Genomic DNA, 24,072 nt, shown 5'->3' with positions numbered 1-24,072 from the left:
TAGTTTTACTTTTTTCAGAAGAGTCATATAGTTGGAATAAGAAGAGTGGATATCTTTTTGAATAGTTAAAAAATTAAAGCTCCATGGCAGTTGATTGTAGTCATTTAAGATGTTCTTTGTCCTTTTGTTTTTCTTTTGCTTCTTTATCATTGTAAAGAATGATGTATTCTGATGAGATTTGATTTACATACTTAGAAAACATGATTTGTATAGATATGTGGCACATAATAGAAAGGGTTGAGGAAAAGGACACCATGCCGTACCACACAGCACAAACTGGAGCATCTTGCTCTGTGAGGTGGGTCCAGATAGACTCTCTAGCAATGGAAGCGGACAAGTGCAAAGGGTTGTATTTTATAAAACTGGAATCACAAAATCTTTCATACTTACCTTCAGTTGGAAATAAGACCAGGCAGTGAATCCTATTAGGTAAATACATAAGTTCCTCACTGATCCTCTTCCTTTGAGGGATGAGGTTGACAACAGCCTGTATTATGATGACATGACTCACCTACAGCTAGATTCTGTCATGGGGGATGACAAGGGAGTTTTTCTTTATGCGAGGTGAAAAAAATTTTTTCTCCTACCAGGGAGAAGGGCAAGCATTAGAACATTCTGGTAGTAAAAAGGCATTGATAGTTTTATTTCTATATATTTTTTCACATCAGATAATACTGCCCGCAGCCTGCCATACCTCCCCAGCGTTTCTTCAGCTTCTCTCTGAATGTGGATAAGCTCTTAAAGGAGTGATCTTTCCAGTGGATCTTTCTGTGGGAGGTAAAATGGCAGGTGAATTTGGCCTTGTTATATGTAGGCCAGAGCAAATAGCTACAACCAAGGAAACCACCCAGCACCTTCCCCAGAAGAGTATTAGCCAGAGTAACAACACACTGATCTCTCTTGAGATCTTCTCCGCTGGTGGCTGGAAAGTCTTTGCAAGGATTCCTGTTTCTGGTCTGAGTCCTATGTTTTGTTGGTTTCTGGTGATATGGTGTTTTATTCTAAACTAAACAGTTTGAACTGAAGAACTAGAGAGGCTGTATTGTGTTATAACAAAATAAGTGCAGTAGCTCCCCCTTAACTGTGGGAGATACATTCCAAGACCCCCAGTGGATGCATGAAACCATGAATAGTACTGAATCACAAGCTGTTTTTCCCTATACATACATATCTATGAGAAAGTTTAATTTATAAATTAAATTAAATCTGATGTTATCTGTAGATAGGGTGTGAGAATTGAATTGTGTCATCAGCAGGAATGATTGCTTGTTTGTTGGTGGGGAAAAACTCTCCACACATTTGGTCACAGAAGCCTTCTTTGTTGATGATTGTTGCTGTGGTGTGACAGCAGAGAAAAACGTGTCAAGTATGTCTTTCTGCGCATATAGTGGATAAGGGGTACTAGTGTATACTCTGTTGTAATGGCCCCTCATATTTTGGTCCAGAAATCATGCTCTTTGACACTGTTGACTCATCACACCTGTTCTGCTAACAATACCATTTTTACTCAATCTCATAGGCTTTGGCTAGGATGACTTGTATACTGCAGTTCACTTGTAGATACCAAATTTTAATAAATTTATTCTTCTTTGCATCTAATAAATACAGAGGGAAGAGTTCTTACTGCATTAATTACCTACCAATACGTATAATGAATGTTAATTCTAATAAGGTCGCAGGCATGCTCCCAAAGGAATGCTTTGTAACAAAGCGTCAGTCTTATGCTTTAAAAAACCAAACCAAACCAAAACAACAACAACAACAACAACAAAAACAGGATCTAAAGCATACACACAAGTGTGCACAATTTTTTTATGAAGGTAGAGTCTTACTATGTTTCCCAAGCTGGTCTCAAACTTCTGGGCTCCTCAAGTGATCCTCCTGCCTCATCCTCCCAAGTAGTTTGGATTAGAGGCATGCATCACTGTGCATTCTTATGATTTTAATATTCTGTACATTTATTATTGATTTAAAATGCATTTTACCTTTTTCTTTAATAGATGTTGGAATTCCTGATGAATCTGCAGTCAGGTAAGATTTCATAGATTTAAAAAATTATGTTAACTAAGAAAATATAGATGGAAGAAACTAATATCTGTTGAGTGTTGTATTCTGGGCTAGACATCCTAATATGTTCTATGCATTTATCATCTCATAAAGCCATCATAACATCTGTGTTCCTATAACCTACTGTTAAATAAACAACTATGGATTAGAGCTGATTAATTGCCTCATGATCCCATAGTTAACAAAGTAGCTGGCCTGCAGTTTGACCATCAGCCTACCTGCCTTCCAAATCCTTTCTCTTGCTCCTCAGCATAGATTGATAGATATCTGTGCAGCCCTTGGATCAAAGTATAGGTCTGAATCAGATCAATCGGATTCATTAATTTGATTAACTTCTAAATTAATGAGAGTTTAAATACCTTGAACTCTCATTTAAGTTTATTGTTAGAATGTGGTTAGTCCTAATAAATTTGACGATTTCAGTGGTAACCAGTATCTTATTTTTACCTTCAAAGGCTCTAGGGCAGATCTGACTTAGCTTTGGCCATAGGACTGTAAGTTTTACCAAAGCAAGTTTAGGCAAGTCTTAGAGACAAATTATTTGACTTCCCAGTTTGGTTTTCCATTTAGGCAAGTATTTCTGCTTACTTCCATAATACATTTTTTACTCTTGTTGCTTTTTCCATGACTTTTATATAACCTTGTCTTCATTTTTTAAAACTTTCTTCTCTGTTTTTCTTGGTGTTTCTTTTGTTCTATTATTTTTTTCAAACTCTGCTGCCTATGTATTCCAAGTTTTTCTATAGACAGAATCAAGAGGACATAGAATTACAGAATTTTAAGGAATCTTAGAATGAATTAAAATACCTTCTAGTATTTTTATCTGCGTTGAACATTCTGGTCAAGTGATTCTCTAGATAGAGAATGTGAGGCTCAAAGAGATTAGGAAGCTTTTTTTTTTAGACATAGGAATTGGCAGAAATGAGATTTGAACTCATGGTAAAGCCCAGTACTCTTGCTTCTTTTTATGTCCTATTGGCGTGTGTTTTAATAATACAAACGGGAGTGAGCCTGTGGATAGAATGAGAATGGAATTAGCTGGTGAACCCAATAGAAGTAGATAAGAATGGAATGAGCAGGGGAAGTCCAAGTTTGAAGATAAACAACACTGGATTGGATAGGAGTACGGACTCTTCTACAAGAGATCAAAGTATTGGGGTTTATGACAAGTTTGATAAAGATAAATTATAAAAATGAAGGACACAAGATGTTGGGAATTATCTACAAAGGCACATTAAAATAGAAGGTTCAAGGGAGCTCTAAAAATTTTGCTGCTTTTTTTTTTTTTTAAATCAAGGACTGACAAACTTGAAGATTTTTACTGAAAGATGCCAAAACATTTTGAGACACTGGGAAGAATGTCTACAGCAGATAGAAATGTGGTGTCATCTACTTCCATCCTGACTTACAAAGGGGTGGCTTAGAGCCCCTGGAGTACTAAGGGGCTGGAAATTGCTGAACTACATAGATGTGTGGCACAGGGCAGGTGTCTCCTCACCTCTGCCTCTTTTCACAGTTCACTGATGTCCTTCCCATGTCCATGTGGGCTGGGTCAGGGGCATGATTAGCTGGCAAATCAGTCATGGAGTTCAGTTGGGTAGTTGGTAGTGTGTATAGCTGGTGGCAGGTGATGGAGACTCCAGTTAGCTTGTTTTTCAGGAGCAGGGATATAGAGAGCTCCTACTCTTGGTCATTTGAGGCCATTCTTTCAGGAATCTGTGCTTTCATACACTGAAGATTTGAAGATTGGAGACTTCTGTGGAACCCTGCAGAAGTAGAATCTGGAAGTGGGTGTCCATAGGAAGAAAGATACTTAGATAGTACTTAGGGAAATAGAGGTACAACTATCATGACTCTGTTTCTTTTCTCGCAGTCTCTCTCCTTGGGTGTCTGAGTGCCTATGAAAATTTTTAAGGGCTTGCTAGTTTATGTGGACCTGAATAAGGTAGGACCTATAGAGTGAAAATAATGGGATTTTATAATTGTTAATATTTTAATCTTTCTGGGAAAAGTATTCTCAATAAGAACATACACCTTTGCTATTTGACTTCTGTACATTTAGCTTTCATACATTTCAAATATTGTGGGGGCTTTCCTGTACCAATTTAGGGTAAAGGAAAGCAATAGGACCTTCCTAAGTTGGATCCATGCTGAGGAATCAAGACTACCATTTTGAAGTGATGTAGATTAGTCTTTTATCCAGAGACAAATCACGGAAAAGAGACAGTGGATCTTTCTACCTTGTTTTAGGTCATCAGTTTTATTCCAGTTTAGGGAACAAAATTTATGTCATCCATTAATTGAATTTTAAGTTCAGCTTCAGGACAGATAATTTGTGAGGGCACATTATTGTCAGGCTCTGCCAATATATTGACTGTCACTATTTGTTATAAACCTCAAGGTTAGTTTTCATTGAATATTTTATAGATTTAGACAGGTGGAGGCAGAAATAGGTAACTAAAATCTATTTTTAGAACAGAGGACATATTTTAATTATATCAAGAATCATAATTTAATATATAGATCACTGACCTTTCCCCAGATTATGTTTTCCTTTTTTTGAGGGGGAAGCTGGATATAAACTGGCAGTTAAAAAAATTGTAAAGAAATCAACTTGCTCATTTTCATTGTGTATTTTTGCTCTCAAGCATTTTGCATGAACTGTGTGTGGATTCATTGCCTACATTGGATGATGAAGACTTGAGTGTTGCTACTAAGGTAAAGTGGTCTCTTGTAAAATTAATCTTCTCACTCTGAGTGTAGTTTTGCATAGTATTTACTTTTCAAATTTAGCAGTGGTTTACCTGTCATTGTTTTATGGTGGTAATGGAAAGCTGGTCAGAGAAAAACATACACATGGCTAGTTGATTAAAAAAATGTGTTTAACTTTGGTAACTAATAAAGATTGGTAAGTACTGTGACAGGGTGGGAGCTGAAAAATAAATGAAGTGGAAAACAAGTAGTCACAGGAAAATCACGTTAGGAAATGCCTTCTCCAATAGAGGAAATACGAAATTTGGTTAAAGTTTATTTGGATAAATACTACTACTTTTACTTTTAAATCATACGTGTGTGACTTTCTTAATATTTATTCCTGTATAAATCTTCAGTGGATCAAATTGTTTGCAGTAATCATGGAATCCTCCTGGTAATTTTTAGTGGCAGAAATGTTCAGCACATAGCATATAGCTTTTGTTCTTGGAAATTTATCATTTTGGTGTCATATAGTTTTTAGGAGAGATTGTTTCTCTACTTATATTATTGGTTCTGTAGTGAGACTAAAAAAGTATTAAAAATTGTAGAAAAATAGCTGAGTTTGGTGGTGTACACCTGTAGTCCCTGCTACTTGGTAGTTTGAGACAGTAAGATTGCTTGAACACAGGAGTTTGAGAACAGCCTGGGCAACATTGTATCTAATTTAAAAATATAAATTGTGGAAATGTAGAAATTTAAATTTATGTTCTCAAGATTTGTATTGCAAAGGTATTTTTATGTGATTTATGAGTTGTCCATGAAGAGTTTATATAAAACACTTCATCTAATTGAATAACATGTATTTTCCTGCAAATAACCAGTTCTAGAAGCAGAGACTCTTAATACCAATATGGTAAGTCTTTATCATCATAATTTTGTCATTGTAGTTTATTTAAAATATTTACTTGGCCAGGCGTGGTGGCTCACACCTGTAATCCCAGCACTTTTGGAGGCCGAGGTGGGTAGATCACCTGAGGTCAGGAGTTCAAGATCAGCCTGGCCAACATGGTGAGACCCTGTCTCTAAAAAAAAAAAAAAAAAAAAAAAAAGCACAAAAATTATCCAGGCATGATAGTGCATGCCTGTAATCCCAGTTGCTCAGGAGGCCAAGGCAGGAGAATCGCTTGAACCCAGGAGGCAAAGATTGCAGTGAGCCAAGATCGCACCATTGCACTGTAGGCTGGGTGACAGAGCAAGACTACATCTTAAAAAATAAAATAAAATAAAATAAAATAACCAGTCAAAGGACTTATATCATATTCTGAAAGTTTGAATGTCAGAAGGTTTTCTATTTAGTTTTTTAAATGATCATTCATTGGAAGCTCCTGCATACCATAAGCTACTGGAGGTCAGTAAACATATTTGTGTGTATCCTGGAGTACCTAGAATACAGTCTTCCATGTAAGAAGCATTTTACTTGTTGTTTTTTGAGATGGGGTTTCACTCTGTCACCCAGGCTGGAGGGCACTGGTGAGATCTTGGCTCACTCCGATCTCCATTTCCTAGGCTCAGGTGATCCTCACACCTCAGCCATCCAAGTAGTTGAAACAATAGAGCTATGTCACCATAGACCTGTGTCACCATGCTGGGCTGAGTTTTGTAGAGATAGGGTTTTGCCTTGTTGCCCAGGCTCTTCTTTAACTGTTGGGCTCAAGTGTTCTGCTCGCCTCAGCCTCTCAAAGTGCTGGGGTTACAGACATGAGACATTCAGCCTTAATAGTTGTTTAATCTGAATAAATAAACAAATGAATTTTTATATAATGGAATGTTATAAGTAATATAATAAACCTAATGTATCTAATCATTAAATATTGTATTTAAAATATTGCTTACATTGTATTATTTTTTAATATTTAAGGGTGTATAAGTTTTGACATGTTATGTTGAGAAATTATGCCATAATTAAAAAGGAAATAAAAGAGAAATAGGTCATCGGTAGCAAAGAGGGTTACAAAATATTTTCTAGTATCATTCAACTGGAATCTTAACATTGAGATTTTAGATTAACATTTCTTAAGCTTTTTATTAGACCCAACTCATGTTCCATTAAATATACCATTTCAAGCCATACATTACTCTTTATTATTATTATTATACTTTAAGTTCTAGGGTACATGTGCACAACGTGCAGGTTTGTTAAATATGTATACATGTGCCATGTTGGTGTGCTGCACCCATTAACTCGTCATTTATATTAGGTATATCTCCTAATGCTATTCCTCCCCTCTCCCCCCACCCCATGACAGACCCTGGTGTGTGATGTTCCCCATCCTGTGTCCAAGTGTTCTCATTGTTCAGTTCCCACCTATGAGTGAGAACATGTGGTGTTTGGTTTTCTGTCCTTGCAACAGTTTGCTCAGAATGATGGTTTCCAGCTTCATCCATGTCCCTACAAAGGACATGAACTCATCATTTTTTATGCTGCATAGTATTCCATGGTGTGTAAGTGCCACATTTTCTTAATCCAGTCTATCATTGATGGGCATATGGGTTGGTTCCAAGTCTTTGCTATTGTGAATAGTGCCACAATAAACATACATGTGCATGTGTCTTTATAGCAGCATGATTTATAATCCTTTGCATATATATCCAGTAATGGGATGGCTGGATCAAATGGTATTTCTAATTCTTGATCCTTGAGGAATCTCCACACTGTCTTCCACAATGGTTGAACTAGTTTACAGTCCCACCAACAGTGTAAAAGTGTTCCTATTTCTCCACATCCTCTCCAGCACCTGTTGTTTCCTGACTTTTTAATGATTGCCATTCTAACTGGTGTGAAATGATATCTCATAGTGGTTTCAATTTGCATTTCTCTGATGGCCAGTGATGATGAGCATTTTTTCATGTGTCTGCCATACATTACTCTTTAGAATTCTGGTGACCAATTCTTTTTCTGGGTGGAAAGTTGATGGAAAGTTCCAGTTTTCTCTCTCTGTTATAATAATGTTCTTTCAGGTAATGGTAGATGACCATATTTAGCTAATTGAATGTCTTATAGTAAGAAACACTATCACAGAAGTACTTACAAAAAACTAATTGCAGCATAAATATTAATTAGTATTATCAGAGTTATGAAAGACCGAAGGCTCTGTTATAGATCTATTTCCCCATGTACTTTATTGTACTTCATGTTTTTCGTTTTCTTTCTTGGCTTAAGCTCATATTTCATTGACTAATTAGGCTTGTTTTTTGTTTGTATCTCTCTTTGTTCTCACATTTTAAATTGAAATTTTTGGGGAGGCAGGGTCTAGCTCTGTTGTCCATGCTGCAGTGTAGTGGCATGATCTTGGCTCACTGCTGTATCCACCTCTCAGGCTCAAGTGATCCTCCCACATCAGCTTCCCAAGCAGCTGGGACTACAGGCACACACCATCATGCCTGACTCCTTTTGGTATTTTTTGTGTAGAGATGTGTCCTCATTATGTTGCCCAGGCTGGTCTCCAACTCCTGAACTCAAGCAATCCACCCACCTTGGCCTTGCAAAGGGCTGAGATTACAGGTGTGAGCCACCGTGCCTGGGCAACATTGAGATTGATTTAAAGAAATTGATTAGGGCTGGGTGTGGTGGTGCACAATGCTTATCTCAACATTTTGGGAGGCAGAAGTGGAAGATTTGCTTGAGCCCAGGAGCTTGAGACCAGCCTGGGAGGTATAATGAGGCCTTGTCTCTACAAAGATAACAATAAAAACATTAGCATGACATGATGGTATGCACCTGTAGTTCCAGCTATTCAGGAAGTTGAGGTGGGAAGATTGCTTGAGGTCAGGAGTTTGAGACCACAGTGAGCCATAATCAGGCCCCTGCATTCTAGCCCTGGGTTGACAGAGTGAGACCCAGTTTCATAAAAAGAGATTGATAAGAAACTCTTGATGCAACTCATTATAATTTTAAATGGAAACTAATTCTTGATATTACCTTAGCAGTGTGTCCCCCAGAAAGTGTCAGAGCCTTTACGTGGACCTTCTCATGAAAACGGAAACAGAATAGTCAATGGAAAAGGAGAAGGTGAGAACCGTATTTTATTTAAAAAGTCATTTGATGGAGACCAGACGCGGTGGCTCACGCCTGTAATTCCAGCACTTTGGGAGCCGGAGGTCGGCGGGTAATGAGGTCAGGAGATCAAGACCATCCTGGCTAACATAGTGAAACCCCATCTCTACTAAAAACACAAAAAAATAGCCGGGCATGGTGGCGGGTGCCTGTAGTCCCAGCAACTCGGGAGGCTGAGGCAGGAGGATGGTGTGAACCTGGGAGGTGGAGCTTGCAGTGAGCGGAGATCGTGCCACTGCACTCCAGCCTGGGTGACAGAGTGAGACTCCATCTCAAAAAAAAAAAAAGTCATTGATGGAATGTTTCTTTTAAAATATGAGCACTAATAGAGTTTAATAGCTAAAGAAAATGTCCTATTAACTGTATCATAAGTAAAAGAGAAATGAAATGGTGATAAGTGGTGTCTCTAACCAAGGGTCAGCAGTTGATTCTATTGGAAGTACCACTAAAGGAGCTGAGTTATGAGTTCCATTTTAACATACTCTAAGACCTGAGGCAAGTCAGGAGAGAGGGAAGAAGAAATGAATAAAAGAGAAAGAAAGAATGAGGAGGGCAGAGTGTACATGGAATAAATAAAAAAAAGTGGATGTATGTAATGGAGGGTAGTAAAGTCAAATTGATCTGTAGAAGAAGGAAGAACAGGGTGTTAGAAATAGGAAGGAAGATAAAGTGAGCTTCCAGTACCAAAATGTGTCATATAATTACAGTAACATTTTCCTTCTCTTGCTGTCATTCTTGCTACTGGGGAGGCATTAAGGATTGAGGTACTTTACCATGCAGACCTGTGTTTTATCTACCATAGATGAACATCACCGTAAATGGTCAGCCATGTATGGCTATAATTTGTTTTTATAGAAAATGAAAAGAATAGTGTTGGGTGATTTATTGGGAAGAAATTAATTAGAGAAGCTTTGCCTGATTAAAAGTTCATTAGAAACATTATGGCTTATAACGTAGTATTAAATTCAGGGACATAATAGGAAAGAAGTTGAGGCTAGGCCAAAAAGGCCAATTAGGGTAAACCAATATGGAAGCACACCAGTGTAGAACAGGGCATTCAAATTGTCATGAATTCGTTGAGGAGCTTCTGGAAAGTGCACATTCTGACTTAGCAGGTATTGGAGTCTGCATTTCTCATGAGCACTCAGGTGATGTTTGTGCTGGTCCTTGGACACAGCTCTGAATAGCAAGGGAATAGCCTTCCTTTAGAGAAATCTGGAAAAAGAACCACTGGAGAGCAATTTAAAAAATAACAGAATCCAGGGAAAGCTTTAATTTCCTTTTATTTCTGAGCATGATTCTAGCCACAAGGGAAGGAAAATGAGATGAAAAAAGAGAGATTACAGGTGTATACTACTGCTGAATACAGATGAAAAAAGTGGTCACAATCATCCATAAAAAGCAGTTAGGAAGGGAAGCATCAGGATGACAGTTCTGATAATCATTTTTTCAAAGGAAGAGGGATGGTGAATGGACACAAAAGGAGGAAAGAAAGACATTTGCTGGGGTCTTGGGAGTTAAAGCCAAGTAAACTTGAGACAACTCACTTCCAGTTGCTTCAGCATATGCCCAGTCTCACAAAAGAGGTTATTGCTGTGGAGAGTACTGGAGACAGGAGGGAGTGCTAGAGTTGGGGTAAACCACAGCAGCTCATTTCACTTGATAACTGTCAGGCCTCAGGGAGAGAAGTTTCACTGACATGAGTGAATAAGATATGATTAAGTTGCATATAGATGCTTTGGCGAAATTTTTTTGAGACAGCCAGTTCTTTGATATGATAGCTGTTTTATAAAAGTCCTTTACAGTGTAAGATAATATACCAAACTTAGTTAATTTTAGAAGTAATCATAAAATTCATTCCATGAAAACCAAAATTATCATTTTCAATAAATACTGCACTGATTTTGAAATATAAATATGTATTAATATCCAGCAAGTCTGTGGTCATTCAATGTTTTCTTTTTTGATAAATAATTTGATATCAGAAGCTTATTCGACATGGTTTATTTGATGTGTTTTATGGACCACCTTGCATGAGTGGATCAAGGAGCTCTAATTCAAGGCCAAATGAGGGGATAGGAGAAATGTAGGTGCTGCAGTAGCCCATGTGATCATGGGAAAAATGAGTACTTTGATTAGCTGTTATTTCATAAGTGTGTATCCTAGCTGATCAATGTAGAACCCTTTCTTTGATGAGAGGTGAATCCCACATTCACCTGAACTGTCATCCCAACTGAGTATTTCCTCAGTGACAAGACAAGGGGAATTTATTTGTGCTGTGCTGGCAGCAATGCCTCTGGTGTGTGGAGTTAAAATACTCTGTACATTCACCATCAGCTTTGACATTGATTCTCTCAGGTTTGATTTGCCCCTCTGTTTAATGGTCCCTTTTCTCCTCATTAGTCCACGTGTTCACGGTTATATCAATGCTTTTCTATTTTAAGTATAGGCATTTGAAACATAATCTCACTACTGAAATGTAAACTGTGCATTTTGGGAATCCTATATTCCTATTTTCCTCATTGTGTTTCTGTCATGTTGCTGTCCTAGGCAATAAAAAGACGAAGCCAAGAAGAACCCTCAAAACCTTAAGTAAATATTTTTATAGCCAGGCCTGAGAATTCAGCTCGACAGTAACACTGCATGAATGTTTGGTTGGTCCTGTCATACTTACATATAATTGATGACATATCCCCTTTGCTTTGTAGGGCCTTCTGCAAAACATCCTTCCTTGAAGATAATTAATTATGTATATTTTTGAATCACTAACTCCATGTTGTATAAAATATATATGATTTATGAATCGTTTTCTTTTAAAACCCATTCAGCCTAGCACTGAAGTGGAAGATCCTGCTGTGAAAGGAGCAGTACAAAGAAAGAAAGTACAGACATTGAGAGCAGGTACATTTGATGGAATACTGGAAATAAAGTACAGTCAATGATTGGATGTACTCATATTATTCTTATTCCTAATTCTATTTGTTCAATATTGAACAGAAGGCATTGACATAAATGTTATTGTTGGTATCCATATTTGAATAAAAACAAATTTAGAAGCATAAAAAAGATTTTAAAAATGTAAGCTTTAAGTCAGATGTTTCTGTTTTAATGTTTTGAATAGCATGAAGTTTTCAGTATAAAATTTTTATACTTGTCAGGGATTCAAAGCAGTGAATTTTGAGACTCTTAAGATATTTCCAGTGAGTTAAGTGCTAGTTGGAGTTCTGATCTTTACCTAGAGGAAAGCTTTACCTATTAAAGTGTCAGTTTCTGTTTTAACTTCAGAGGCTTGCTGCTAGTGTTATTACACTGATGATCTGAAGCTTATCAGATGTTCTAATGAGCAAGACTGTGTGTGTAGGTGTATATATAGATGTGTGTATGCGTGTGCTTGTGGCATCTTTCACTATTACAAATGACGAAAGTAATGATTCATTTATGACTGGTAGACACAGTCTTTTAAAATGGTGATTTTGAGCCTTTTTAGTGTTAAAGTTTTTAAAACATGATTGCATAGAGGCTACCAACATCATAAGTTGGTTGTTTTTCATTTCAATGCCCTTTTGAAATCTTTAACTACATTGTGATGCCCAGAAATAATATGCAGAATTTTTTGTGTCCTAAAATAGTATGTGAGTGGTTATATACTTTATATACCTTTCTGCCACTTTCTTTGGTGTGTTTTGTATTATATTTTCCACTTGTACCCACATTGGTGTGATTATCTCTGGTTTAATTCATTTTACACTGTTCATTGTATTCCCTCATACCACTTTACCACATTTAGTTAGACTCTCCTGTTGCTGATAAATGAAGAAATAAAAAGAAAAATAATGTCAGTTTAAGAGGGCTTTTCTTTAATCAGTTTGTATCTATTAGCATTTACTATATGAGAGTTTAAACCTGAAAAGTTCAGAATACAAGCATGCACCACCATATTTTATTAATGCCCTTAGAACTATGACTCATGAGCCTTTAGCCTATGAAGTTAGGACAATTCATTTCTCTGAAGAAGAATGCTGGGCTGTTCTCAGAAAAGAAAACTGAAAATAGCAAATGATATTGTCTTATTTTACCTCTTGGACATCCTTGAATGAAACTGCTACTAAAGGGATACTCGGATCAAAATTCAGATCTAATGTTTTGAACAGTATAGTTTGTGAATGTCCAGTGATCATGAGCCCTTGATGGGGAAATGACCTTTCGAGTTTCACTTTTGCATTTTTTGCTCGTTTCGTTGACTTGTCTTGAAAGCTTAAATTCAACTATTTTATTTTTACAGAAATCAGGAATATAACTTTTAAAATATATGTCTGTCCTGTCTCACGGTGTTGTGTACTCTTCAGATCTTGTATGAACATAGACTTATATGGGAACAATTAGGTTTTTTGTTTGTTTGTTTTTGTTTTTGAGACAGAGTCTTGCTCTGTCACCAAGGCTGGAGTGCAGTGGCTCAGTCTTGGCTCATTACCACCTCTGCCTCTCAGGTTCAAGCAATTCTCCTGCCTCAGCCCCTCGAGTAGCTGATACTACATGCACGTGCTACCATACCCTGCTAATTTTTCTATTTCTAGTAGAGATGGGGTTTCACCAGGTTGGCCAGGCTGCTCTTGAACTCCTGACCTCAGGTGATCTGCCCACCTCGGCTTGCCAATGTGCTGGGATTACAGGTGGGAGCCACTGTGCCAGCTACAAATAAGATTTTTAAGGCTGTTATATTTTATACAATTCTTTGGTCTATGTGAATTCTGAAGGTATTCATGCATTGAGGGAAGATTATCTCAGTTTAATGAAAGCAGTTTTTAATTTAAAGTATATTCATTAAATTTTTTTTGAAGTTTTTTTCTCTAGTACACAGAAACACACAATAGTATCATGGGTATTTGACCTTAATGTGTTTATGCACAAACTTAGTTATTCAAATATTTTCCTATCCCTGAAGAATCTTAATTACTAATAAACAAATTTCTCATGGAAAACAACATATATAACAGAGATGGTTGAGTGATTGAAAGTAAACTGTAGTAAATACCAGAAGCTTAGAACAAGTTAAGTAAACTTGTCTGAGTTAATAGCAATTACAAGACTTTTAAAATACATTGGACCACGGGGGAGTAGTGCATTTGTGGGGTAGAGGACAACATGGTACTGCTTCAGTGAAGAAAGAACTTTTACACCTTATTACAATTTGTATTATTATTTACATTCTAATAAATAAAAACTTTATTTTCAGATATTTTACATCATGTTTCTACTAGTTGAACCATCAATAGTAAGACTTTTCAAAGATTTGGGAAGTTGTGAGTTGATGATAAATATCTGTATCACCATCAGTGATCAAAAATCAGACAGCAACTACCATAGATTTTGGACATGCGAACTTCATAGTTAAAGAAAGGATTAATCTTGGAGCTGTGTTTCTATCAAGGAATTACACTCTTCATTACCTGTGTGAATCGCAGTTATTAGAGTAGAAAGAGAGCAAAGAAGGGAAAGAAGCATAGAAAATTTTATTCTAGATTACCTCGTTTGGCTTCATGCTACCATAGTTCTGACTTTTAAAGAGTCATTTTGTGGTCAAATATACTTTGTGTTCACTCCCCTTATGCAGCCTACAACCAAACAGAATGGTTCTTAGCAAGGCATTTGTATTCTTCCCTTAAGGAAAGCAACATATAAATAAGAAAGGGAATGAGAAGAAAGAGTGATTTCATTGAGGTTGGTATTTAACATAAATTTGAGTACAGGTACCATGATTATATTTAGAATTTTGTGGCTGGATGGGAAAACCAGCTAGATGTCTATAGATTTCCTACTCAAACACAATGTGCCTTTGTTTTACTTTTACGTCTCTAATTTAGCAATTATTAGGTACAACTGTATGCAGTGTCACTAAAAATACCTCCCAAAACCAAATATTAAATAATGTCTATGGCTTTCTGTTTTATAGTGTTGATTTTCCCAATATTAATGGGAACCACTGAGCATTTGCCTTGTGGTGTCTCCTCAGCTGTATTCACATATTCCATCACCTTTTCTTAATGGATAATCACGCACTATGAGTAAGGGTTTTCAGAAAAGCTGTGTCATTTAAAGATAACACAGGAGCATCAAATTTAATTCTGCTAGGACGCCTGGTCTACTGATTAACTGCAGCTAATATGAGGTCTACTTCACATCCAAGTTAAATTCAGTGCCCTTAATCAGTCATATGATGAGGTCAACAGTAATAAATTATGCAATATTTTTTCACCCACCCCTATAGTTTTAATTTCTTTTTCCCCTTATGTCTGTGTTTAACATTTTGCTTTGCAAAACATGATGATAATCTTCTAGAGTAGTGAGGACAAGCTATAAATCCAAAGTTTCTTACCTATGCAAATGACTTGTTTGCTCTATTTTCTCATGAGCTTGGTAGATCCAGGGAACAGAACTTTTAAAACAAAATCCCCATATGTTGCTGGGTGCGGTGGCTAGTGCCTGTAATCCCAGCACTTTGGGAGGCTGAGGCGGACAGATAACTTGAGGTTGGGAGTTTGAGACCAGCCTGACCAACATGGAGAAACCCATCTCTACTAAAAACACAAAATTAGCTGTTCATGGTGGCACATGCCTGTAATTCCAGCTACTTGGGAGGCTGAGGCAGGAGAATCGCTTGAACCCAGGAGGCAGAGGTTGCCATGAGCTGAGGTCACACCACTGCACTTCAGACTGGGCAGGAAGAGTGAAATTCCATCTCAAAAAACAAAAACAACCACAACCACAACCACAACCACAACAACCACCACAAAACCCAAATGCATTTCCTTGGCACAGTAAAACTGAAACAGAAAAAGGGTAAAGTAAATACAAGTAACTGAAAGAGTTTATGTATATTACTTTACTTCTCATTTGATTGATAAAATTTGTAAAGTAATGAGCAGAGTGTATTTCTCCAGGGACCGAGATATATACATTTATTTATTCAATAGAAATTCATTCTTATAATGGCCACTGATACCTATATCCTAAATATTTCTGAAAACATCTCCTCAGGCCTGCATCATCTTTGCAACATTGCCTTATATTTTATCTTTGTTCATTGATTTATATGCCTCAGAATTTTATGCTCCTCACAGTATTTAGAGTGAATTATCCCTAATGCAAATAGATCCGTGAATCACTCCTGAATACCTAATGTCTAAGCATCTTAAAGGTTTATATAAGGATTTCAGAAACTGACTTCTGGGTTGGGCACGGTGGCTCATGTCTGTGATCCCAGCACTTTGGGAGGCTGAGGCAAGTGGATCATTTGAGATCAGGAGTTCAAGACCAGCCTGGCCAACAAGGTGAAACCCCATCTCTAATAAAATACAAAAATTAGCAGGTGGTAGTGGCACGCGCCTGTAATCTCAGCTACTCAGGAGGCTGAGGTAGGAGAATTACTTGAACCTGGGAGGCCGGGTTGCAGTGAGCTGAGATCATGCCACTGCCCTCCAGTCTGGGAGACAGAGTATAACCTTGTCCCAAAAAAGAAAAGAAAAGGAAACTGATTTCTGCCCAAATCTCCATCTGTATCCCTTTCCCCATCTGCCTTTTTCTCTGGAATTACTGAGCTGCTGGTAATGGCCCCCTCACCATTCCTCTTCTGCAGAGAAATACATACGCTCTTGGAGGCTTCTCTTCCTCTCTTGTTGCTGCCTGGCATGTGCTCACCCTTTCCTGCCCTCTGCCTCGCTTAATCTGGCTAACCTCACTCTCTAAGTCTCAGCTCATGGATGATCTTTAGGAAAGCCATCCCTGACAGCTTCTATTTTCCTTCCTTATTCCCCAGTGCCTAACACTTAGCAGGAACTCAATAAGTAATTATTTAGCAAAATTAAGACTGCTTATACAAAGATGATTCAAAAGATTATCCTCTACAGTCTAGCAGCAAAGGGGTCAACATGTAAAGACATGATGTGCAGGTCAGGTGGTAAAGTGACACTAGAAAAATTGACAAGGTACTAAGGGACCCCAACGAAGCAGACACCTGTGTGTGTGGAGAAAGATACCTAGAATCAAGGAAGATTTCACATAGCATTCTGAGCCTTTTTTTTTTCCTCTTTTTGGAGACAAGTTCTTACTCTATCACCCAGGATTGGAGTGCAATGGCATGATTGAGACTCACTGAAACCTCAGACTCCTGGGCTCGAGGGATCTTCTCATCTAAGCTTCTTGAGTAGCGGGGACAACAGGAACATATCACCATACCTGTCTAATTTTTTGTAGAGTCAAGGTTACCTATGGTTCCCAGGCTGGTCTTAAACCCTTGGCCTTGAGCGATTCTCCCATTTTGGCCTTCCAAAGTGCTGGGATTACAGATGTGAGCTATTATGCCCAGCCTACTTTCTGAGTCTTAAAAGATGAAAATAAATTTTTCAGAATAGCAGGGGAAAACATTTGTGATGTAAAAAATGGGGTGCACACTAATTGAGGTATAAACAACAATAATTTTGCAAATTATTAGTAACTGCCAACTCAATTAGTGTCTTGTTAAAAAGATACTGTTATGAAGTATAATAAAGCATTACGTTGTATATTTTGACTGTATTTCAAATTTCTGTTTTGTTTCCAACAGTTTTGTTGACTTATGTTGGGTGGAACAATTTGTGAGTGACCCTGAGATTTTACATGGCTTGAATCTGGTGATATCTGGTGTCTCCCCAAGTGGTTTGTTGAAGTTTTGGATAATTAGAAGTATTTCTTACAGAAGTAAATATTTCAGTAAACATTGTTTCATTCAAACTCTCAAAATATAAAATACAAAGAAATGTTATTCTCTATTTATTTTTATAAAGATTATAGTCCTTATCTAACTCTTCTTAGTTCATTTGAACTAAATCAATGACTTTGTCAACAGAACAAACCTTACCAGTGGCTTTAGAGGAAGAGCAAGAAAGGTGTGAAAGAAGTGAAAAGAAGCAATCACAGGTATATGAAAATTTAAGTTCTTGTTTAATATTAGGGGTTTTTTTTGCTTTACTAACAAAGCATAGTCCAAATGACATGACCTTTCAGACTATACCTTTAGAATCCAATAGATCATAATTTTATATTTAATTTTTAAAACATCTTAACCAGTTATGAAACTTAAGATATTCTTACTATCTCTAGTAACTATTAGTTATTCTAGTAATTCTTAGTATCTCTAGTAATTCATAGCTGTATTTACCCTTAGAATTGAGGCAAGAAATTTTCAGAATTATCTTGCTGTTTTATTTATATAACCTTACTCATAATACACAAGGTAACATGAAGTATTGGGTCATATTACTGAGGAATATAAATTATGAACAGTTTAACAACAATGGCCACTGAGTTAAACTAGTGTTAAAGGAGTCATCATTGCCAGTGCTTCAAATGTTGCAGTTTTATATTGCTGGTCACCAGTGCCGAGGTTAAAGATTTATTCTGTTTTGTGGTCACCAGTTGACTTCTGTGTCTGTGTTCAGGGAGTGAATGGGGTCATAAAAGTCAATGCAGTTGCCTATTAAGAGAATCCTACCTTGCAGAATGGGACCTTTGGTGTCAGGGTGTGAACAATAACTTTATTTCAACATAAATACATAGTAAACATTACTGAAATTTTAAAAATCCAAACCCTATCACTACTGGAACTTAAAATATATTAGAAGTGGATATAAGCAGAAATTCTATCTAGATACATAACACTATCATAGTATATCATTTGAATTAGAATTTAAAATTTTACTTCTCTTTCTTATTGGTGTTCAGTTTAGCTCTTAATAATTTAGTGTTTGCCTAGTGCTCTAGTTAATCTTCAGAAATAAACATGCACTGTAGGGGCTCACTCTTTCTGGTATGCTGAGGTAAAGTCTTTGTAAGAGAGGAAGCTTTTATAATACTACCTATCATCTTTGAATTCATTTCTGGTAGATTTTACACAAATGCATTAAGTTTAGTCCAAACAGACAGTGAGAGTTCAGCTTGCTGGTTCATGTTTCTGTCCTATGTTAAGCCAAAGCAAATTATTTTTCACTTTTTAGTTACAATCCCATAATTTAAGAGTAGCAACACATAGATTAAGTTTCACAGTTAAATTTTAATTATTTTCTAATATTTCTTTGTTTATACTTGATTAAAGCTAATTTTAAAACATGCACTCTGACAGAAAAGACATCTGAGAAACAAAACAAGCAAATTTGTTTTCCATTTTGCACCTGCCCCCCACCAAAAAAAGTCTCAAGAACCAGAACTGGGTAAGAACAGTGATAAAGGGAATCAATCTATATATTCATGACTTTCTTTAAAATTCATTACAAACAAGTTCAAGCTGAATATTGGTAAAAGTTCTGAAAACTCCAAAATTACTACTTGCCCTGAGGAAGAGCTCCTACATGGTAACTCTAAAGAGGGATGAACAAAAAAGGAGTGCCCTCTAGTCTGATGAATCATGTCCCTGATTGTGAGGAGAAAAATGTATCTGGAGGGTCTAGCTCTGTGGCAGTCCAGGCAGCGCCTGAACAGAGGAAGCCCATGTCAAATGTCTTTTTATTCCATTCACACTCCAGGTCCCTGAAATACACTTACCAGTCATCTTCTAAGCTTCATTTAATTTAAAATAAATCAGACTATAAAAATGATAACAAACCAGACACACAGCTTGTTTCTAACACAGATGATGGAAATTTTTGTTATGATATAGAAACTGAAAAAGTAAGGAACCCAGTAATTATGATTGAAATGAAAGATGATTAAGAGTTTGACATGCAAATGGAAAAATATATAAACCCAAATACCACTAATTGGAAATTAGGCATTGGTCTCAGTCTAGAGATCCAGAAAGCCTTTTTGATTTGTGGTTTACCCACCCCAAAGAAATGAAGCATATGATTCAGATAGAAAGTCACAGTATTTCTGCTGCTACAGATACTTATAAAAACAGAAAACCAACACAGTGCTTATTCCAGAAGCCGCTGTATGACAATCCCAGTGTTAATAACTACAAAACCATGAATCTTGAACTATAAAATGCGGGTTATTCTTTGCCACATAGTGAGAGAACATCAAAAATATAGCTAGAAGACTTACAGCAAGATATTTCAAGGTCACCAAGATATCACATATATACATATGTAACAAACCTGCACATTGTGCACATGTACCAGAACTTAAAGTATAATAATAGTAAAAAGAATGAGGTAGGCATGTTACAAGTAGAGCTCCTGGCTTTGGAGAAACAGAAAGTCCAACTTCAAAAAGACAGAGGTTCACTTGCTGCTTCTTTTTTCTCTTTATCAATTATATGATTTAGTCAAATTTTCTATTCAAGAAAATCTCATGTGTACAGTTACAGCGGGGTTTTCTAAATGTGTAATTATGTGTCAAAGTAGATTAGTCCTGCTATCTAAACAATGGTTCTGGAGAATGTTCTCATAATGTTTCTTCATTAATCAACCTAAGTCTCACTCTCAGTCTTCCAAGTGGCATATGAGCTGGGAAACTAATTCAGCCATATACCACGTGACCTTCTGAATGAGATCAACATAAAGAAATTGCTAAAGAAATAAGCTTTAGATTCTAGATTCTTTTTTCTGTATTCATTTAGAGATGAATTACATTTATTTAATGATAGAATGGGAATACAATGGGAGGAAAGCAATGACTGAGACGAGCCACAAAAACACGTCTAGCCTTGAGAGTTGCTATGAATATTCCCAGCCAAATGAGTCTGTTTAATGTATTTTCATGCATGCAAGTTCATCTGCTTAGCTCAAACTGTTTGAACTTATAGTTCCATCATGGTTATTTCCAATATTTTGAAAACAAATATATACTTCCACATATTTTAAAAAATCACCACTCCAATATTTCTGTTGAATCAGTCCTTACATTATGTTGTTTAATAAAGTATCATAAGTTTTGGCATGTGTGATTTTTATCATGTAAGAAGCATAATTTCTTAGATAAAAATTTATCCTTTGATTCTTTAGTAGAAAGTTGAGTTCTGTACATTGTGTCCTAAAGATAGACAAAATCTAGAGATTTTCTTCTTCAAAGTAAAAGCAGATGAGGCCTTTTTCCACCCTCTGAGGCGTTAAATTGCTTTGCTCAACTTAGACTTTTAATATATCTGACTAATTTGATAAATTTATTTGGTAATTTATGTAATTCAGCAATATGGAATTGTATCATGTTATTTGGTGCCATGAAATGCTAGAGAATGCCACCTCAAGAGCTCTCGATGAAACATTTCATATGTCTTTGTTAGTTTGACTCCCATTTTCAGTAGATAATGGGGCTAAAGTAGATAACTGTACCGTATGTTTTCCACCTATAAACTTTTCTGATAATTGAATGTGAAATCTGGGAAGCATGTCGTTTTCCAGAATTCTGCACTGGAAACACAGCAGTTTCACTCTGCTTCTTGTGTTGTGGCAAACTTTGGTTCCCATAGTTCAGGGAGAACTTTCACTTTTTTGATATCCCAGAATTAAAAAAAAAAGAGATAAAAGGCAGTGGGGAAAAGAATAGCTCAGTGTAGAAAAGGGAAAACTTCTTTACTGTTCCTGAAGCCCTACAAGGTCACATCCTCTTAATCTGGCTATTTCATGTAAAATCCAGGTGGCAATGACAGAAGATATATGTTATGCCTGTGTCTTTTTATTTCTCTGTTTCTGCCAGTCAGATAACATAAATATTTATATCAGATAGCAAAGAGTGGATGGGAATAAAAGCACAAAATGGAGAAGAGTCCTTTTTGAAATTTTGGAAAATTCTTCTATTCACTCAAACAGAAATGAGCAGACTTGACAAAAATTTCAATGATAAAATGATGAGTATCTTATAATTATAATAATTATGTATAATGATAAAATTAAAGTAAGCACAAAATATTTTTATCATTAAAACGGTGATAGTTAACCTGAATCAAGTGAAAAAATCAGGGAAAAACTTCTTTTTATTGAATAAAATAATAATTATTATTCATATTACTTTTGTTAAAGGTCAAAGAAGGAAATAATACAAACAAAAGTGAAAAAATACAACTATCAGAAAATGTATGTCATAGTACATCTGCTGCTGCTGCTGACAGATTAACCCAACAAAGAAATATTGGGAAAACCTATCCTCAGCCTTTTACCAAGAAGCTGAAGGAAGAGCATCATAGGTAAGTAAGCCTATAGCAGTGTTTATTTATTTATTTATTTATTTATTTATTTTTTGAGGTGGAGTTTCTCTCTTCTTGCCCAAGCTGGAGTGCAATGGTGTGTTCTCACCTCACTGCAACCTATGCCTACTGCATTCAAGTGATTCTCCTGACTCAGCCTCCCTAGCAGCTGAGATTACAGGCGTGTACCACCATGCCCAGCTAACTTTTTGTATTTTTAGTAGAAATGAGGTTTCACCATGTTATCCAGGCTGGTCTCGAACTCCTGACCTCAGGCGTTCTGCCCATCTCGGCCTCCCAAAGTGCTGGGTTTACAGGAGTGAGCCACCGTGCCTGGCCACCTATAGCAGTATTTCGCAGCAGACAATTGTCATTGTGCTATAAACTAATTCAAAATTGGACTAATATTCCTTATGATTAACAAGTTTTATATTTTCACCAGAGATATTTAGCCCTGCCTGGTAATCAGAAAAGTGCAAATTAACATAAAATAAGATATATTTTGTAAAGTCATGCTGGTATTGAAAAAGTAATTACTACCATTGGCAAATGTGAGGAAAAAGGCATTCTCATACACTGTTGGTATATGAAATTGGTAAATTATTTCTGAAGGGTAACTTAGTGCTGTGTATCAAAATTTCAAATAACCTGACATCCCTTTAACTCAACAACTCCACTTCTGGGACTAGATTTCACAGGAAAACATAACTTGTGTAAACATACACTTATTAAGGGCATTAATTATATATTACACATAATGAACAATAGCTTAATAAATACATAAAATATATGTAATAAGAAGGTGAATTGGAAGTATTAAGAAAGAATTATAAAAAGTGTGGGGTAACAGATGTTAGACCCTTTAGCCTAGTTTTAGTTGACAATCATCTGCAGATATAGTTTGTGTGAGAGACATCTTACTCTGTAAATCATTTGGAGAGACACCTGCAATATTTCATAAAGATGAAAATTTATTTCTAGTGAACTTATACGCTTGTCAATAAATAGTAACTTTAAAAATTTAGTTGATTGTAAATGACCTTTTCTAATCGGGGAGTAATTATGACTGTGTGATTTGAAAAGGTAATTTTGAAATTCTAACTATACTGAATTATCTCCAGTATCCTTTTTTATAATATATGCTAGAGTGACTAGTAACAAAAACTTCAGCAGAATATTCTTTCCTTACTACTTTTCAAGTATATGCATTCTTTTGAAGATGTTGAAGTGAGAGATTAAATATCTGAGAACTAAAAAGGAAAAATAATTCAGAACACAGAAATTTTATTAGGATGATAAAGAGCATCTGCAGAGGTAGATCACAGGATGAACTCTTTATTTTTTAACAAAATGAGTTTTAAGATAAATGTCTTTATCTGCAGATGCATCTTAAGATAAGAAAATAAAGAAAAAACAAATGTTAATATGCTGTACAAAAAAATAGAGAAGAATTAGAAAGGAAAGAGAAACAACATAAGAAAGAAGTTGAAGCAAAGCAACTTGAACCAACTGTTCAATCACTAGAGATGAAAACAAAGACTGCAAGAAATACTCCAAATCAGATAAATCAATCTTTGGTAAAAATTCTATATTTTAAACTATTGTATGAAAGTTTCTTCTAATATTCTCTTGATTTAATATATAATATTTAGGTCTAAAACAAACCAGAAATGTTATCTCATTTTTAAAAAATGAATGATGCCACTTACAGGTACAATTATTAATATTTATTATAAATCTTGGCATCCACATAAGATATTATTTTATAACAAAGAGCTTTTGAAAACAATAATATGCCATAGTATATACTTAGTGATAACCTATTGATAAAGATTCTGTTCCCAGTAAAATTGTTCCTTGTACTTTCCCCTATTTCATATTGATTACTGTACCTAATATTATAAAGAGGAAACAAATTATTGCAATCACAAATAATCTCATGATATTCTAAGAAGAGCTCTATAAATTTTATCTTATTTACCATTGGTGTTTTGAAATAAAAGTTTTCTTCCATATGGATATATTTACACCACAGAAGTAACTG

The 24,072-nt window shown here is 36.0% G+C and overlaps 1 protein-coding gene across 3 annotated transcripts; it reads left to right on the top strand.

Moving 5' to 3' along the window:
• Positions 1-1,130: 1,130 nt before the first annotated feature.
• LOC102723382 (ankyrin repeat domain-containing protein 20B-like) lies at positions 1,131-23,449 on the top strand. Of its 3 annotated transcripts, XM_011546266.3 has the most exons (6): positions 1,131-2,031; positions 4,716-4,785; positions 8,746-8,830; positions 17,757-17,827; positions 21,865-22,028; positions 23,411-23,449. In XM_011546266.3, the coding sequence occupies exons 1-6, from the start codon at positions 1,937-1,939 to the stop codon at positions 23,424-23,426; spliced, it is 501 nt and encodes a 166-aa protein (XP_011544568.1). In that variant the 5' UTR covers positions 1,131-1,936; the 3' UTR covers positions 23,427-23,449. The 3 variants fall into 3 exon arrangements, 1 of the variants encoding a protein (XP_011544568.1); XR_002958861.2 differs by lacking the exons at positions 17,757-17,827; positions 21,865-22,028; positions 23,411-23,449 and adding exons at positions 3,941-4,012; positions 5,643-5,674 and having other exon boundaries at positions 8,746-8,756; XR_002958860.2 differs by lacking the exons at positions 8,746-8,830; positions 17,757-17,827; positions 21,865-22,028; positions 23,411-23,449 and adding exons at positions 3,941-4,012; positions 5,643-5,778.
• Positions 23,450-24,072: the final 623 nt, after the last annotated feature.

The sequence above is a fragment of the Homo sapiens genome, unplaced genomic scaffold (assembly GCF_000001405.40).
Source record: "Homo sapiens unplaced genomic scaffold, GRCh38.p14 Primary Assembly HSCHRUN_RANDOM_CTG21".
NCBI classification, from domain to species: Eukaryota; Metazoa; Chordata; class Mammalia; order Primates; family Hominidae; genus Homo; species Homo sapiens.
Note: the sequence above shows the minus strand (reverse complement) of the source record. Positions and strands in the feature narration are given on the sequence as shown.

Excerpts from the sequence above, each read along its gene's own strand:
- LOC102723382 (XM_011546266.3), top strand. The coding sequence starts at position 1,937 with ATGATTTTAATATTCTGTACATTTATTATTGATTTAAAATGCATTTTA. Across the intron at positions 8,831-17,756 it reads AGTCAATGGAAAAGGAGAAG|AACAAACCTTACCAGTGGCT; the intron begins GTGAGAACCGTA and ends CTTTGTCAACAG. Across the intron at positions 17,828-21,864 it reads GTGAAAAGAAGCAATCACAG|GTCAAAGAAGGAAATAATAC; the intron begins GTATATGAAAAT and ends CTTTTGTTAAAG.